The 18,306-nt window shown below is 40.0% G+C and overlaps 1 protein-coding gene and 1 pseudogene across 36 annotated transcripts in view; both read right to left on the bottom strand.

The window, feature by feature from the left end:
- Positions 1-18,306, bottom strand: part of BMPR1A (bone morphogenetic protein receptor type 1A) — a 177,082-nt gene that overhangs the window by 38,223 nt on the left and 120,553 nt on the right. For 34 of the 36 annotated variants that reach the window (NR_176213.1, NR_176212.1, NR_176211.1 and 31 more), the window contains 2 exons: positions 4,398-4,560; positions 2,393-2,495 (listed from right to left, as the gene is read on the bottom strand). Coding sequence is in view for 33 of the 36 variants with exons in the window: in NM_001406562.1 (NP_001393491.1) it covers positions 2,393-2,495; positions 4,398-4,560 (266 nt within the window). In the remaining 3 variants the exon portion in view is untranslated. The remainder of the gene's footprint in view (positions 1-2,392; positions 2,496-4,397; positions 4,561-18,306) is intronic. The other 2 variants (NM_001406588.1, NM_001406586.1) reach the window with 1 other exon arrangement.
- Positions 4,889-5,053, bottom strand: RNU1-19P (RNA, U1 small nuclear 19, pseudogene; annotated as a pseudogene).

Below are 18,306 nucleotides of genomic sequence, written 5' to 3'. Positions count from 1 at the left end.
GTTTAACAACTAACTTATAATGGTGAATTCAGCTTAGGACAGGCCTACACTAGGGGCCTGTTGAACACTGGTTATTACTGCTGGGCTCAGTACCCTAACCATAGCTCTTTCTTCAATTTTTTAAGTGATTAAAAAATGTATAGTATGTGTGCTTGATAAATACGCAAATAGCCTAAAACTGGAACAACGAAATTAGCATCCTTTAAATCCCAACAAATTAGAGCAAAGGATTAATGCTTATACGATAAAATTCATAAAGACAAGTATGTAACAACTGTATAGGAAAACCTCATTCCATTCCCATCTACTTATTTGTGTGAAGAAACCAACAGCACCAATGAAGAGTGGAGGAGATGTGGCTTAGCAGCAGCATGAGTGAGTAGCATAGGGACTTCAGCGGACAGAAGGCTCAATGGTTCAAGAATATGGCATGACTGCCAAATATCTAACACAAGACTATGTTTAGAAAAAGGGAACAGGGCTATTTATTCTCTACTTTTTTCCTTGGTCATATCACACTCAATTCTGCATATTACACTGAGGAAGTGGAGACTGAATAACTCTAAAGCTGATCATATAAGGAGCAGTTGAGGTCATTATGGACAATTATTTTCACTGGGCAAAGACTAGTAGGATGAAGCACTTTTTTTACTTAGTAAAGGGCTGTCATCTTAAAGAGAGATTAGGTTTGTTCTCTATGGTCCAAAGAGTCAGAAAGGAAGATAGATTTGCAGTCATTTGCAACAAGGGTGATTCCAAACATTAGCTGAGAGGTTGAAACATAACCTTTAAGGTTTCTATCCATCCTGAGAATTTCTTTTCTTTTTTTTTTTTGAGACAGAGTCTCGCTCTGTTGCCCAGGCTGGAGTGCAGTGGTGCGATCTCAGCTCACTGCAAGCTCCACCTCCCGGGTTCATGCCATTCTCCTGCCTCAGCCTCCCGAGTAGCTGGGACGACAGGCACCCGCCACCACGTCCAGCTAATTTTTTGTATTTTTAGTAGAGACGGAGTTTCACCATGTTAGCCGGATGGTCTTGATCTCCAGACCTCGTGATCCACCCGCCTCGGCTTCCCAAAGTGCTGGGATTACAGGCGTGAGCCACCGCGCCCGGCCTCCATCCTGAGAATTTCCAAATAATAGGAACAATTTTCTAACATAGCTGAGACTTAAATTATGCACAAACAATTCTATCTGGAGCTGGTTTTCAGAAACACTGGAAGGATCTCCTGGGACAAAATCACTATGCAGAATTTTGAAGAGATCAGGTTTATAACCCAGAGCCATCAGGATGCTCATAAACTATTACCATCCTGATTCCTTTGCTGCTGCTTTTAAAGAGCTCCACTGACACCTCCTTACAAGGCCTTAACATTTTTTTTTCAACTTTAGTGGTTACCCTAGAGTTTGCAGTATATCTTTAACATTTCTAAGTTGTCTCAGAGTGATACAAAGGTTACTGCCACTATCTTAAAAGTCTTCTCAGTAAATTTTATAATCTACAAATAAGTGTGACAATATAATTTTTTTGCAGTCATGACAACCTAGGATGATTTAAAACTTTTTTTAAGGTAAAATAACCTGGAACTTAAATTACCATAATCATATTACTTGAATAAAATTTTTATTTTTAAAGAAACGTTAGCTGCAATTATTGTGATAAGAAAGTTTAGAAACTTTTTCTCATTGAAAATTGTAATCAGTAGCCAAAGACGGTTAAAATTTAAAAAAAGAAAAAAGAATTTTTTTTTTTTTTTTTTTGAGACAGGGTCTTGCTCTGTGGCCCAGGCTGCAGTACCGTGGAACGATCTCGGCTAACTGCAACCTTGGCCTCCCCGGCTCAAGCAATTCTTCTGCCTCAGCCTCCCAAGTAGAGAACAAAGAAAACTGTAATCAGGCTGGGCACAGTGGCTCACACCTGTAATCCCAGCACTTTGCGGGCCGATGCGGGCAGACTGCTTGAGCCCAGGAGTTTGAGACCAGCCTGGGCAACATGGTAAAACCTTGTCTCTACAAAAAATACAAAAATTAGCCAGGTATAGTGGCATGCACCTGTAGTCTCAGCTATTCAGAAGGCTGAGGCAGGAGGCTGGCTTGAGGTTGCAGTGAGCGGAGATCGCAGCACTGCACTCCAGCCTGGGCAACAGAGCCAGGTGCTGTCTATGGAAATAAAAAAGGAAATTGTAATCAAACAATTAGCTTTTCAGAAATGATTTAGTTATAAATTCTACATATGAATACAGGACAGAATCTAGACAGTAGGTATTCCTCCAATATATTTACTGATGTGAACATACAGCGATGTGTACACCAGGCATGTTTCTCCTGGGGGAAATCGATGCTTTCATATGGCCCCTCCCTTCTTTGTCTCATGGGTCCCAAATTATATCTTACTTTGCACTGAAAATCAGATCCTTCATATTTCATACACCCTGAAGCTAATGTGGTTTCTCCCTGGTCATCTTCTTCTATGATGGCAAAGCAATGTCCATTAGTTCTAAAACAGAAAAAAACAAAACAAAACAAAACATAAATTCACATAGAAAGTACTAACGAAATTTGAGTCTGAATGTGAACAGGTACAGATGGCCTTTAATACTTTGTTTTGTGACTTAGAATTGCATTCACACGTGATTTATTGGCAACGCCAGAGGTTTTAAGACAAATGAAAGTTATGTCTGAGCCAAGATCTAAAAGGCCAGTGACAACCCTTTGTCAAGAAGAAAAGGATTTCAATTAAACAAGTCCTCCACATAGGAGTTATGTGACTTCTCTTTGCTAATCAGTCATGTGATCACAGAAAGCTGATTTATAAAATTTTATGTCATGTTTTGAAAACATACTTTAAAATAACTTTGTCTCTTTTTACCCATTTTTTCAGTACTTCCATATTGTATATGATAATAGATAAAAACAAACTTTTCTCTGAAACATACAAATAGGCTTAATGACCAAAAAAAAGGGGACTAAAAGGCACCTTTTACTGAATATGATGGGAAAACAGGGAGAGGACTTTTGAATAAATTTTCAATAAATTTACATACATATATAATGAAATTCTTATTTTAGTGTTAGCATCCTGGAGTTTCCCCTTAATATATTCATATAGACTTTAACAGGTATGGGAGAAATTTCTAAAAGCTTTTTCTGTACTCCTATTTATTGTTAATATCAGGAATTGTGCTGCTTCTACTTAGAAGAATTTTGCAGAATTCTTGGTTTTCTGTTAGGAGAAAATGTTAAGTGTGGGGCAGAATTCTGTTAAAATGGATGATTCAGTTTTACTCTGGGTTACTAAGCTACTAACAGACAGCCCATTACATCAGGCAGGTACTACAGACAAGAAGTTTAGCAAAACATTATTTGGTGACATAGCAGAGAGCAGTTCCCTGCTGGCAAACTCTCACCAAGGTAAAAATGAACAACTAGTCACAGTCAGCCACGCAGAGCCCACCACCACCAGGGGACAAGCAGCAAACCTAAGACACGATGACCGTCATGCAGGTTCAAGAGTTTACGTGTAAAGTTTCATGCTTTCTATCTGGTCCATTCAGGGAACATACAATTATTAAAAGTATAAAACATGACATTCATTATTGCCTCTATAACAAGGAGACAATTAATTGACTGATGAGGTTGAGTTGTTCAGGCAATTTTTTTTGGTCTTATTAAGTCAATATGTCAATGTTTCCAACAAATATGGACTAGAATTACATGATCATATATAAACATGTTGTGCAGCTAACACGAAATACACTAGAAAAATTAAAATCATTTTATAAATCAGATTTGGATTGGTAAATTCACAGGTAAGAAAAAAGCATAAAATTAATTAACACAATATGATTTATATATATCTGCAAAATATTTCAACTAATTAAGAAGTAGGAGGCCAGGTGTGGCAGCTCACCCTAGTAATCCCAGCACTTTGGGAGGCTGAGGTGGAAGGACTGCTTGAGCCCAGGAGTTTGAGACCAGCCTGGGCAACATAGCAAGATCCTGTCTATAGTTAAAAAAAAAATTTTTTTTTAAATTAAAAAGAAGTAGGAGGTTGTCAGTGAGTTTTCTGATTTCTTTTTTGGTAACCTCTAAGTTTTCTAAAATGAGCATCAATAAATTTAAGATTAAAAGATCATTAAAAACTCAGATGTTAAATACTAGATCCCTTTGATCTTATTTTAAAAGCTGCATTATAACATAATTCTAATATAGTAACTCACCTATCAATCATTTAATGGAATAATGTTCTAATATACAAAACAAAAGGCTTTTTGGCTTTCTGGAAAGATACTATATATGAATGAAAAAAAAACCGCAGACAAGTTTAATAATTCTTAAAATAGCACTAAATGCAACTCTATTCTCCTAACTCTTAAGAAGGGCTGCATAAAATACTTACATGCATGTGTTATTAATAGCATCATCTGGACAGTGCCCTGAGCAATAGCACTTTAAAAAAGGCAAGGTATCCTCTGGTGCTAAGGTTACTCCATTTTCTGACTTTTTCTGGTCGGAGTCTGATTTCATCCCAGTGCCATGAAGCATACTATCCAGATTCTGTCCTGCATTCAAATATGGAATTTGTAAGTAAATCATTTCTGAAAAGCTCATTGTTTCGTGACAATTTTCAATGAGAAAAAGTTGTTAAGCTTTCTTATCACAATAATTGTAGCTAGCATGTTTCTTTAGAAATATAAATTTCATTCATACAACAAACAGACATACATTATTATGCACAGAATTACTGCACCAGGTATTGCGGGGTACATGAAGACAGCTATATCACAATTTTTGCACTAGTGAAAGACAAACAAGAGTGGCGCAAGGCAGAATACAGTCAAATCTTGTTTTTTATATTTTTAAAATAACTTAAAAATTTTTTAATTTAACCAGGGAAAAGCATGAACGCAGTCCCCCACCACCACAATTATGCAGTTGAGTTTCCCACATTTGGGGAAATCGCAGGGGTCAGCACATCTGGAGTGCAATGAATAAGCCTCGCCCTGGGAAAACCACCTTCGTGACCGTGGTCTCTCCCCTGCCAGGTAAAAGTATATAGTCATCACTTGTAAGAAAGGTACAAAAGGGGGAGAGACTTCACAGAAGTCTGTGAGAGTTTCCAATCATTAAATAGAGACAAGTTATGATTCTTCTTTTAACTCTTTGGTTCAAAACTTGTGACCAGCTTTCCTTTATTTGTGCCTCTATGTGGAAAAGGAGTTACTAAGCATCTTGCTTTGGCCTTTAATTGCTTAAGTAAGGAAATCATGAGAGCATGGGGACCAATCATGTTATCTGGAGATTTTCACCTCGAGGTCATTGGTTTGAATGCAGACGATGCTGGCAGAAACTGAAGGTTATAGAAGGGCAGCAGTTAGCTCACAGAAATAGAACTATGTTCTTACACTAGAGTCTAGCAGCCTGCAGTGACAGATACTGTCATATTTGGTACTAAATCTTTCAGGCTGGAAGCAGAACGGAACTAAAAAAACTGTTCTAGTAATTACTTCCTCTCTCTGACTCAGCTAGGCCATTCTTTGTGGGTTACTCTCAAGGGAATGAAAGGTGGAACCAAACAGACAAGTGTATATGTATTTCATTATGAATGTTAAATAAGTGGTTCAAGACACAACACAGACTTGATTTTACATTTACCATACTGATGAGATAAACTACTGAAAAGACAAAAAATATCACATATGCACACACAGGTAACAGAAAAAGTGCTGCTAAATAGTGTTTTGATGATTACATGCCTTCAGTTTCAATAATTTTCACTTTTTTTTTTTTTTTTTTTGAGACATGGTCTCACGCTATTGCCCAGGCTGGAGTACAGTGATGTGATCAGAGCTCACTGCAGCCTCAACCTCCCAGGCTCAAGTGATCCTCCCACCTCAGCCTCTGGAGTAGCTGGGACCAAGGGCACATGCCACCATGCCCGGCTAATTTTTAAATTCTTTGTAGGGACAAGGTCTCCCTATACTGCTCAGGTTGGTCTTGAACTCCTGGGCTCAAGCGATCCTCCCGCCTCAGCCTCCCGAAGTGCTGGGAATATAGCCGTGAGCCACTATGCCTGGCCAATAACCTTCACTTTCTTATACCGAATATTTAGTAAAAGAATTTGCTACTGAATGAGTATAGAGAACATTTTTATTTGAGATAGAGTCTCACTCTGTCACCCAAGCTGGAGTGCACTGGTGCAATCTCGACTCACTGCAACCTCCGCCTCCCAGGTTCAAGCAATTCTCCTGCCTCAGACTCCCGAGTAGCTGGGATTACAGGCACCCCACACAACGCCTAGCTAATTTTTTTGTATTTTGTTGGTAGAGACAGGGTTTCACCATGTTGGCCAGGCTGGTCTCAAACTCCTGACCTCAAGTGATCCACTTGCCTCAGTCTCCCAAAGTGCTGGGATTACAGGCATGAGCCACCGTGCCCGGCCAGGAGAGAAAACACTTAAAAAAAAAAAAAAAAAGCTGGAAGTTTGTGTACATACATATATTACTCATCCCCGCGCCCCCCACACCACTCTCCTTTCAGAAATAAATTCCGTAATATAATGTCAAGGCTTCCGTTGGATCTGATTGCTACAAAGCGGAAAGACCTCCTTTATGTTAGAAACATCAACTGTAAAAGATGGGGTGGGGGAAGCAGGAGGTACAGGAAGGGAAGAAATCCACTGAGCAGGAAATGAGGAGACTGGGATTCTGTTTTGCCATGGGCCTACCCCGCTTTACCTAGCTGGATGGTCTTGGGCAAGCCATGTCACCTTTCCAGGCTTCATTTACTCTATAAGGCTACAGGACTAGAGGACAGGTGAGGGAACCTGACCAGCTTTAAAATCCTATTACATTAACAGAAGACACGTATCAATTCAGCTCTGGAAAACAAACAGTATATAATATATCACAGCAACTGATTTTTCAAAAATCTAGTGACACAGAAAAAGCAGTTTAGTGTGGCAGAAATATCACTTGAGATAACAGCAAGAAGTGAAGGGTTCAAGTCGCAGTTACGGGCACAGATAAGTTACTCTCTGAACCTCAGCTATCTATAGAAAATGGGGATAATAATTCCTGCCTAATTCAAATCAAGAGGTTATAGGTAGATCAAATGAATATTTACTAAAGTGCTTAACTACATGTAAAATAGTATACAAATGAAGATGTTACTAATAACAAAGATCAGAACACTAAAAGATCACTGATACATGAAAAAACTCAAAGTTATATGAAACTTCCTAGAATACTATTTGAATTCATGAGACAAAAAACTCAATTACAGTAGTTGTATCTGGAGCTTATGTTATTGCCAAATATTCAACAGAATACTTAGTAGGGGTCTATTATGTGCAGGCAAGGTATTAAATGCTAGAAACGCAAAGATGTGGCATCAAAACCACATATGTGGCCTTGAGAAACTTGGTGGAAAGCAGAGGGGGAATAAGCACAAAAGCAAATAAATACAATGTGAAAAGTGACAAAATACAAAGGCCAGGCGCGGTGGCTCACGCCTGTAATCCCAGCACTTTGGGAGGCCAAAGTGGGCACATCACCTGAGGTCAGGAGTTCAAGACCAGCCTGGTCAACATGGTGAAACCCCGTCTCTACTAAAAATATTAAAAAATTAGCTGGGCGTGGTGGCAAGGCGCCTGTAATCCCAGTATTCAGGTGGCTGAGGCAGGACAATCACTTGACCTGGGAGGTGGAGGTTGCAGTGAACAGAGATCAAGCCATTGCACTTCAGCCTGGGCGACAAGAGCGAAAATCCATCTCAAAAAAAAAAAAAAAAAAAAGTGACAAAATACGGAGGTGTTTACATGTAAACAAAGGAAAAGGCTCATCCTAGGTGTCAAACTCAAACTGATCTTAGGTGTCAAAAGTAATGAAATCTAAGCTACATCTTAAAAACTTGCAAGATTTCACCAAGCAGATATTGAATACAAAGAAAAGTAACAGGAAAGAGCCTCTCTGTGCTCTCCCTAGGGGACAGCGCCCACTCTGTTGATGGTTCCTGGATGTACCCCCTCTAGCCATGACCTGCTTAGACATCTCCTGACTGACTTGTCTTAAATGAACTCTTGATTTGCCTCAAACCTGGTCTTACCAAAGTCTTTTGGCTCAACCTCCAAAATGTATGTCAATTGTTTTCATTTTTCTCCAACTCCGCTGTTGTCACCAAGGCCCATCACATCATGCCTCTACTAAGGTAAGAAGTCTCCAACTGTTCCCTCTGCTTCTGCTCTTGGTCCCTGCAATCCATTTTCCACAGAGCAGCCAGAGACATTTTATAAACACAAATCTGTCACTCCTATATAAAACCAATCAATGGCTCCACAATGCACTCAGAATAAAATCCAACCTCCACTGTGTGCTCCCAGGGCCCAACAGGATCTGGGTCCTGCAGGCCTCACCATCATCACTTTACTTGGCACATGGCCTTCTGTCAGTTCTGAACATGTCAATCTCTCGCCACCCACAAGTCCCGTGTATTTACAAAGAATAAACTACGAGCCCTGGGGTGGACTGGGGGTATAGGTTATATTTCAAAACAAACACACACAAAATATTTAATAGCTTACATGTTTAAGTATAACATCTCAGGAAAAAATGAAAACATATACATACAAAGAGACAAACAGTTACAAGAGACACATGACCATACACAGGCACATTTACAGGTCCTTGTCATCAACAGCAATTTTTGGCATCAATGATTTTACTAGATTTTTATTCCTGGCTAAGTAATTTTTCATATTTTCCCAATAATTTATTGGCTTCCTTTTTCTACAGCAAATAAATGCCCTCTGCCGCAACCTTAAGATAGAATGTCTACAACAGAACTCAGATGGCAAACGGTTGGTGAGACCAATGGGCTACTGATGCACTATACATATGAGATAATCAGCAATGGTAGCCTAATGAATTCTGCAACAACAGTCTGCATCATTAATTAAATAGAAACCAGGAAGACATCAGCAGAAGGAAAGTCAAGTACAAGGAAGCAAGAACTAGGGAAAAGGTGGCATGTCTACAACTGTGCTGTCCCATATGGTAGCCACTAGCCACATGTGACTTAAAATGTAGACGAATTAAAATGAAGTAAAATTAAAAATCAGTTTCTCACCCACACTAGTCACAACTCAAGTGCTCAAAAGCCACATTTGGCTAGTAGCTATCACACAAGACAGCAGAGATATAGAAAACAGGTATTGGTTTTGTGGGCCCCAAGGTCTCTGTCACAACTATTCAATTCTGCCGACACAATGCAAAATCAGCCAGACAACATGTAAAAAAATGAACATGAGTGTGTTCCAATAAAATTACTTATGGATAATAAAATTTGAATTCCATATAATTTTCATGTGTCATTAAATATTCCCTTGATTTTTCTTCAATCACTTAAAAATGCAAAAACACCATTCTTCACTCATGAGCAGCACAAAATGCAGCAATGCGCTGGATTTAGTTTGTGGGCTATAGTTTGCAAATTACTGATATAGAAATTTCCATCACCAAACAAAGTTCTGTCATACTACGTTGGTCTAGGAGGAAAATCAAAGGGAGAAGAAAAGAAAAGATTTTGCGGCAGGGCCAGAAAGCATAGAAATGGGCTTTTCACATCTGATAGGATATGTGAATGATTAGGCTTATTTTATGACACTTTTGGAAGGCCAATAAAAAATTATAGTTAGATGTATTTCAGTTGAACATAAAAACTGCATAAATCAGTTAACATTAATCAAACTTGGTTCTGAACCCATTATCAAAAATGGGTTGATACATTCCGACACATGCTGACACATGTCCGACACATACTGACATGCAGTGTCATCCATAATGTCACTGAATGGCAAAAAAAAGCTTCTAGAAACATGAATATAGTTATTGCATTAAAAATCATATGCTTGGCCAGGCGCGGTGGCTCACGCCTGTAGTCCCAGCACCTTGGGAGGCCGAGGCGGGTGGACTGCCTGAGGTCAGGAGTTTGAGACCAGTCTGGCCAACATGGTGAAACTCTTGTCTCTACTAAAAATACAACAAATTAGCTGGGCATGGTGCTGTGAGCCTGTAATCCAGCTACTCAGGAGGCTGAGACAAAGGAATCACTTGAACCAGGGAGGTGGAGGATGTAGTGAGACAAGATCACACCAATGCACTCCAGCCTGGTCAACAGAGTGAGACTCCATCTCAAAAAAAAAAAAAAAAAAAAAAAAAAAAAAAAAAAAATCATGTGTTTGCCAGGCATGGTGGCTCATGCCTGTAATCCTAGCACTTACGGAGGTCCAGGAAGGTAGGATGCTTGAGCTCAGGAGTTCAAGACCAGCCTGGGAAACATGCTGAGACCTGGTCTCTACAAAAAATTTAAAAAATTAGCTGCGTGTGGTGGAGCACACCTGTAGTTCCAGGTACTTGGGTGGCTGAGGCGGAAGGATCGCTTAAGAACCCAGCAGGCTGGCAGGGAATGGTGGTTCAGGCCTGTAACCCCAGCACCTTGGGAGGCCGAGGTGGGTGGATCACCTGAGCTCAGGAGTTCAAACCAGCCTGGCCAACATGGCGAAACCCTACTAAAAATACAAAAATTAGCCGAGTGTGGTGGTGTCTACCTGTTATCCCAGCTACTCAGCAGGCTGAGGCAGGAGAATCGCTTGAACCCAGGAGATGGAGGTTGCAGTGAGCTGAGATTGTGCCACTGCACTCCAGCCTGGGCCACAGAGCAAGACTCGTCTCAAATAGAAAAAAAAAAAAAAAAGTCATACGCTCAAACAAAGTTTACACTGTTGAACTCCTTTTATTGCATTATGATCACAGTATGTGGCCTTTGAGGAATTTTGCTTTTTGTTTTTTTTGTTTTGAAATGGAGTCTCACTCTGTTGCCCAGGCTGGAGTACAATGGCACGATCTCCACTCGCTGCAACCTCTGCCTCCTGGGTTGAAGCAGTTATCCTGCCTCAGCCTCCCAAGTAGCTGGGATACAGGCGCCTGCCACCACGCCCGGCTAATTTTTGTATTTTTAGTAGAGACGGTGTTTCACCATGTTGGCCAGGCTGGTCTTTTTTTTTTTTTTTTTTTTTGAGACGGAGTCTCGCTCTGTCGCCCAGGCTAGAGTGCAGTGGCGTGATCTCGGCTCACTACAAGCTCCGCCTCCCGGGTTCACACCATTCTCCTGCCTCAGCCTCCTGAGTAGCTGGGACTACAGGCGCCCGCCACCACGCCCGGCTAATTTTTTGTATTTGTAGTAGAGACGGGGTTTCACCGTGTTAGCCAGGATGGTCTCTATCTCCTGACCTCATGATCCGCCCACCTCGGCCTCCCAAAGTGCTGGCAGGCTGGTCTTGAACTCCTGACCTCAAGTGATCTGCCTGCCTCAGCCTCCCAAAATGCTGTGATTACAGGCATGAGCTAACGTGCCCAGCCAAGGTGTCTTATACTTAACTGAAATATTATTTCAAAATTACCCACGATAATCCAAGGGTGACGTGGGTGAGGGAGAAGTGCATGGGGGTAGAGAGGAAACAGCCTTGGTCATCAGTTGATACTGTCAAAACTGAGTGACAAGTTCATGGAGTTTCATTATATTATTCTCTCTACTTAGACATATGCTTGAAATAAGTATTTTTCCTATAAGTAGTTTTTGATGGTTTTTTTGTTTGTTTTTTGAGATGGCGTTTTCGCTCCTGTTGCCCAGGCTGGAGTACAGTGGCATGACAGCTCACGGCAACCTCCGCCTCCCAGGTTCAAGCGATTCTCCTGCCTCAGCCTCCCGAGTAGCTGGGATTACAGGCATGTGCCACCACACCTGGCTAATTTTTTGTATTTTTAGTAGAGACGGGGTTTCTCCATGTTGGCCAGGCTGGTCTCGAACTCCTGACCTCAGGTGATCCGCCCGTCTCAGCCTCCCAATGTGCTGGGATTATAGACATGACATGAGCCACCGTGTTGGGTCTTTTTTTTTTTTTTTCCTAAAAGTAGTTTTTAAAATACTCAAATAAAACAACAATATATTCTCATAGCATCCAAAAAAAAATTGAGCCCCACAAGTAAACCAAAAAGTCCTCTTTGGGCCCATCTAATCCCCTTCCCACTCCTTAAACATAACCACCATTATCCGTTTGATGTATATGCTTCTTGTCCTTTTTCTATTCATTTACATATATATGTTTGAAATGAAGTATTCTTCCAGAAAACTTTTTATTTTTTTGAGACAGGGTCTCACTCTGTTGCCCAGGCTGGAGTTCAGTGGCCCAATCTCGGCTCACTGCAACCTCCACCTCCCTGGTTCAAGCGATCCTCCCACCTCAGCCTCCCGAGTAGCTGTGACTACAGGCACATGCCACCATGCCCGGCTAATTTTCGTATTTTTAGTAGAGACAGGGTTTCACCATGTTGGCCAGGCTGGTCTCGAACTCCTGAGCCACTGCACCTGGCCAGAAACCTTTTATAAAAGTAGAGAAAACTGTACAATGAACCCACACATACCCATACAGCCCAGCTTTTATAATGATGAATTCATGGCCCTTCTTGTTTCACTCCCTCCCCCTTTCATATAATTATGAAGCTAATACCAGATATGTCCATTTATCTGTAAATATTTCAATGTGTATCTCTAAAAGAACTTAAAAAAAAAACACAGTTATCACACCTAAAAAAATTAATAGTAATTCCTTATCCTTACCAATATCATCAAACATCAAGGCAATGTTCAAATTTCCAATTATATTATAAATGTTATAAATTGCTTTCTAATTTCCAATTGTATCATAAATATTACAAATTACTTTAGTAGTTTCCTTGAATCAGGATCCAAATAAGCTGGTTGTCTCCAAGTCTCTTAATCTACCAGTTTCTTCTGCCTCTTCCTGTCCTTGAGATTTACTTGTAGACATTGGGTAACTTGTCCGGTATTTACTAGTATAGTATTTACCACAGTCTGGAATTTCTGATCACATCCTCCTGGCATCATTTAACATGTCCTCTTGTTCTCTATGGATTTTGTAAATGGTAATTAGCTCGAGAGCTGTGCTGTCCAATATGGTAGCCACAAGTCACATGTGTCTATTGAGCGCTGAAATGCAGCTGCTCTGTATGTTGTGGGCAGGAGGGAACCAAATGCCTGCTTATCTCTGTTTTTAAGGTCTAGATTCACTAATTCAATCGGCATAGTATAAAATAATGTATCTAATCCTATCATTTCTCTTTTTTATGACTTGGAATACATCTATGAGATGCTTTCCCTCACCTACTAATTGGATACAGGTGGCACAGTTCATGTTAGAAAGGCAAGATTAATGTTTGATTTCTCCCTCTATTTACCAGTTTTCAAAATTAATGACTTCATTAGCATCTTTTAACAGTAACCAACTAGTTTTGTTTTCTTTTTTTGAGACAGAGTCTTGCTCTGCTGCCCAGACTAGAGTGCAGTGGCGTCATCATTGGTTCACTGCAGCCTCAAGCTCCCGGGCTCAAGTGATTCTCCCGCCCACCTCAGCCAGGAATACAGGCACACATCACCACACTCAGCTAATTAAAATTTTTTTTTTGTAGAGACCAGCTCTATGTTGCCCAGGCTGGTCTCAAACTATTTTTTTTTTAAAGGGACTCTCAGTTTAGCCGTGGATGTTCTCAAACTCTTGAGGCTCAAGTGATCCTCCTGCCTTGGCCTCCCAAGTGTTGGCATGTACAGGTGTAAGTCACAGCCCTCAGCCCTAACTAGTTTTTTTCTTAAGTGTTATTACAAACACGTGGATTTAAACATATTTGATTTGTTTGAATCCACTACAATTAGTATTCAATTCAAACTGGTCACTGAATCCTTTGAACTTTTCCTTGCTTTCTGGCCAAAATACCAAGATCACCTTGCTCTTTCCCTGCCGAACTTGAACTCAGTGATTTCTCCAAGGAGTTCTAGATCCTTAGTGAAAAAAGACAATCAGATACTACAACTGGGTTGTTACAGGTGCTTGTTGTTACTGGGTTGGTCAGTGTAAAAATATATGGCTAAGAAAGCAGCTTTGCAACTTGCTTTTTTCACTTTAACTGTATTCATCCATTAAACCAAAATGTACTGAGTGAGTACACGGTGGTAGCCACTGTTTTAAGCCCTGGGTGACTAGAAGAGTAAACAAAACACAGTCCCATATCTATTAAAGCTTACAGTCTTCGACGGAGAAAGACAATAAAGATGAATAAATACTGACATTTGGTACTATTTTAATATTTATTCATAGGTAAGTGCTACAATACCAAATAAAGCAGGTCATTTTCTAGCATGGGAAAGGAGCAGAGTGCCTCAGAGCGGAGGTCACTAAACCAAAGGCCAGGAGAACAGGCAAAGCAGAGGCCAGTGGCTAGGTCAGAAATTCTCAGAACACACATCAAGACAAGATATTTAACTGTGTTTAATGGAGTGAAACCAAAGAGATCAGAGCAAACAGAATGTAGGACCACTACAACTTTACAGGAACTGTACTTCCAAAGATATCCCAGGCTGACTCAGTCAGGCTGTGAGTTTTCAATCCATAGGACAATTTCCAGTAATCAGACCTCCATACTAACAGAAAGCAGGCCGCTAAAGCTGTTCAGTCTCCACAAAGATCATCCTCCACTAATTCCAGCTCAGATGTGACCATGAAGACAGAAACACTAGCCAAGGAACACCAGAGACAAGGCAAATCCTCCCAGAAAATAAAACTGGAGGCTGACAAACAGGTTAAGCATCATTAATCTACATGCTATGGAGCAGTGAATACTGAGGTTGTTTCCAATTTTTCTTCCTCTGAATGGAAGTTTTATATAGTACTTATCCCACTTCATCTTTATCACTGGATACTGGATATACTGTGCACTGATAATTGCTTTTAGCCACACACTGCTGGACCATGAAGAGGCACCTGGACCCGAAGGAGAGGGCTTCCCACCAGCCAGAAGTCCTGGATTAGTAGCTGCATGTACTAAATGGATGCAACTCTGGGGTATAGAACCCTTTGAAAAGGAACTGAAAATTTCATAGCAACATGAGCATTTTAGCATATGTATGATGTCAGGTCAACAAATGTGGTACCCAGCAACAGATACTCTTATTCTTCTCCTCCTTCCCTTGCTGGCAACAGGCATGTGCACATGTACACACACATTAAGGGTCTGCCCCTCCTCCACGTGATTCAGGGAAGCGCAGCCCTCTACTCTCAGCAGAGATAATCGTTGGTCTAATCCAACAATTTTAGTTCCATTCCCCTTGCCAGTGATTTAACACAAGAGCATATAATGAATTTTGGCCACTAAGATTAGAAGGAAGTCTGTTGGGGAGAGGAAGTGAGTGAATGGGGAAAGATTTATCAATTAAAAAGAGACACAAACAGATTTCCCTCTTCTTTAACTGAGCATTGTCAACTCAAGCTTACCTCATCTGCATGTGATGTCTAGTCTCTCAGCAGCCACACTGTGACACTGTGGCTAACCTGACATTTAGAGATGTCACAGTTGAAAAGACAAAGAACTTGGGTCTTGATGAGCCACATAACCAACTACAGTCCCCTTATATACAGACTTCCTGTGTGTTACTACATGCTCTTTATTGTTCAAACTTTTTTTTAAAAAAATAAAAATCACCTAGCCCAAAATGTCATGTTTAAGCTCTTTTAATTTTTTTTTAATTATTTGTAGAGGAAAACATTCTAATTGATGGAAAAAATTAAATCTCTCCCAGATCCTTTTAATTGTCCAATTGATACCTATTTTCCCCCTTTTCCCAGCTAACCAAACTCTGATTTTGTTTGGGGGAACAACACACCCAGCCCTAGGCAATGGATATAGATTAAGACAATTGTGACAATCCTGTTTCTCTGTTTTCCAGTAGCTCTTGCTATTAGGAATGATTAAGACTTAAGACAAAATCTGTGACACTTTTGCTTTCCTGGTATCAGGTCTAGTTGAGGCCAGTGCTGACCCTTTCCCCGTTTTACCTGCCTCAAATGCAGATAATAGTAACCACTTGGGAACCACAAGGGAAATGTCAAGAAAATTACAGACATGTCAGCCTTGACACTACTCAATAACTGAATGTACAGCAAACATCTACCACCTATGTTAAAAATAAATCTCTATTGAAGTCATTATTAGTTACTTAAAACTAAAATCCATTTCTGAAATTTGTGACAAAATCCAAAAAAGGGACTACATATCTATCCAACATTAATATATCCTGTTGTAAAATTTGTGACCAAGTCTTAAAAAATAAGAACTAAGTATCTATCAGCTGTTAATATCAGATGACTCATTTTTCTGTTCAAACCTAAGTAACTTTATCTCAATGTAAAGCACTTAAATCTATACCCTAACAGTTGATGGTCAAAACATTCTTGTTTATATCTAGGATAAGCATTATTATTTCTATTTTACATCAAGGAAACCAAGGTACAGATAAGTTTATTTTCCTGAGACATAATTCAAAACAAGATAAAGCTAGAGCTAAAGTCAGAAGTTATTTCCATTAATACCATTCTACAATCCTTCCTAATGATCTCTCAGAAATAACTTTTCTACATTGGTTTTAGCTTTAAGAGCAAACATTTGTGTGTTATTTGAAGCAACTATCAAAATAATTTTTTGAAAGGAAATGTAACAAATTTCACTCTTTATCAGAGAAATGTAATTCTTAATAAGATCTTTTGCTTTTACGTAGTAACTAATTACCAACTTATTCCACCTAATAAAAGTTTATTATAGAACAATGTGAACTGGGGCGAAGACTGAGAATTTTGTATCATATTGCCTACGTGTGATCTAAACAGATTTTAAAAAAATTTATGCCAAAATGGAGATTACCTGGAAGTGAGGTAGCAAATATAATATTACTATGAATTTAACTCATCTTCAAAACTATAGCAGCTTTGGTTGATGCTGATCAACAAGGCATGTAACAGATATTGAAGTAAAGGTATTGTACTAAATAATTTGGTGTTTCACAAGTAAAAGTGGCTTTTGCTGAAGGCTCTGTATTCTTAGCATGGTAATACTAAGGATATTGTTGTAATACTAAGGATATTGTTATAATACTAAGGCAAAATAAAAAGAAGCTATAGATTTCATTCTATGTTTGTGCTTTAAGATGAAAATATCAGCCAGGCACAGTGGCTCACGCCTGTAATGCCAGCACTTTGGGAGGCCGAAGTGGGTGGATCACGAGGTCAGGAGATCGAGACCATCCTGGCTAACACGGTGAAACCCCGTCTCTACTAAAAATACAAAAAATTAGCTGGGCGTGATGGTGGGCGCCTGTAATCCCAGCTACTCGGGAGGCTGAGGCAAGAGAATGGCGTGAACCCGGGAGGCGGAGCTTGCAGTGAGCCGAGATGGCGCCACTGTACTCCAGCCTCGGTGACAGAGCGAGACTCTGTCTCAAAAAAAAAAAAAAAAGATGAAAATATCAAAAGCTTTATGGTGTTAATCATGTTTCTTCTTAACAGCAGATATTAATCCAGATCACTGTGATCAAAACATTAGGAAAAAGCAACCTGTGAAGTAAAAAACTTGAGAACGAAGACATCCAGTAAGTTTTATCTAAAATCCTCTTGCAAAACAGTACTGTCTTTTCAGCTTAAAATATTATCCTACTTAAACCATACAGGAAAAAGCTTATGTGCAAATACAGGCCATCTGGTCCTAAGAGTCATCACAATAACTTCCTGTTTGGGAGTTCTAAGCTGTGAACACATAGTAGCAAAATTACTTTATTGGTCATAAACAAACTGTCAGTGCTCTATGAAGAAATTTTAGTATTCAGCACAGACAAGTGTCAGTTATCTTTCTAAAGTCTTTTAACAACAATAAAATGAAATTTTTTGGTTGGGGCAGGGACAAGAGTCTTGCTCTGTCGCCCAGGCTAGAGTGCATTGGTGCGATCTCAGCTCACTGCAGCTTCCACCTCCCGGGGTTCAAGTGATTCTCCTGCCTCAGCCTCCCGAGTAGCTGGGATTACAGGCCCCCGGCTAATTTTTGTATTTTTTGGTAAAGATGAGGTTTTGCCATGTTGCCCAGGCTGGTCTTGAACTCCTGACCTCATGATCCGCCCACCTCGGCCTCCCAAAGCGCTGGGATTACAGGTGTGAGCCACTGTGCCTGGCCAATAAAATGATTTTTCAATTATTATTTACACTTGCTCCTTATTGTATTTTAAAGGAGAGAGGAATTTTGAAGCTCAGCCTGGACTACCTATTACCCTGTCTTTCAGCTACTAACTGAGGTGGCTTTACATACTTTATCTCATTTAATCCTCACAAGACCTAATGCTGTGTATCATTACGCCTATGT

The sequence above is a fragment of the Homo sapiens genome, chromosome 10 (genome assembly GCF_000001405.40).
Source record: "Homo sapiens chromosome 10, GRCh38.p14 Primary Assembly".
In the NCBI taxonomy this organism is placed as follows: Eukaryota; Metazoa; Chordata; class Mammalia; order Primates; family Hominidae; genus Homo; species Homo sapiens.
The sequence above is the reverse complement of the archived record's forward strand: the minus strand, read 5'-3'. Positions and strand labels throughout refer to the sequence as shown.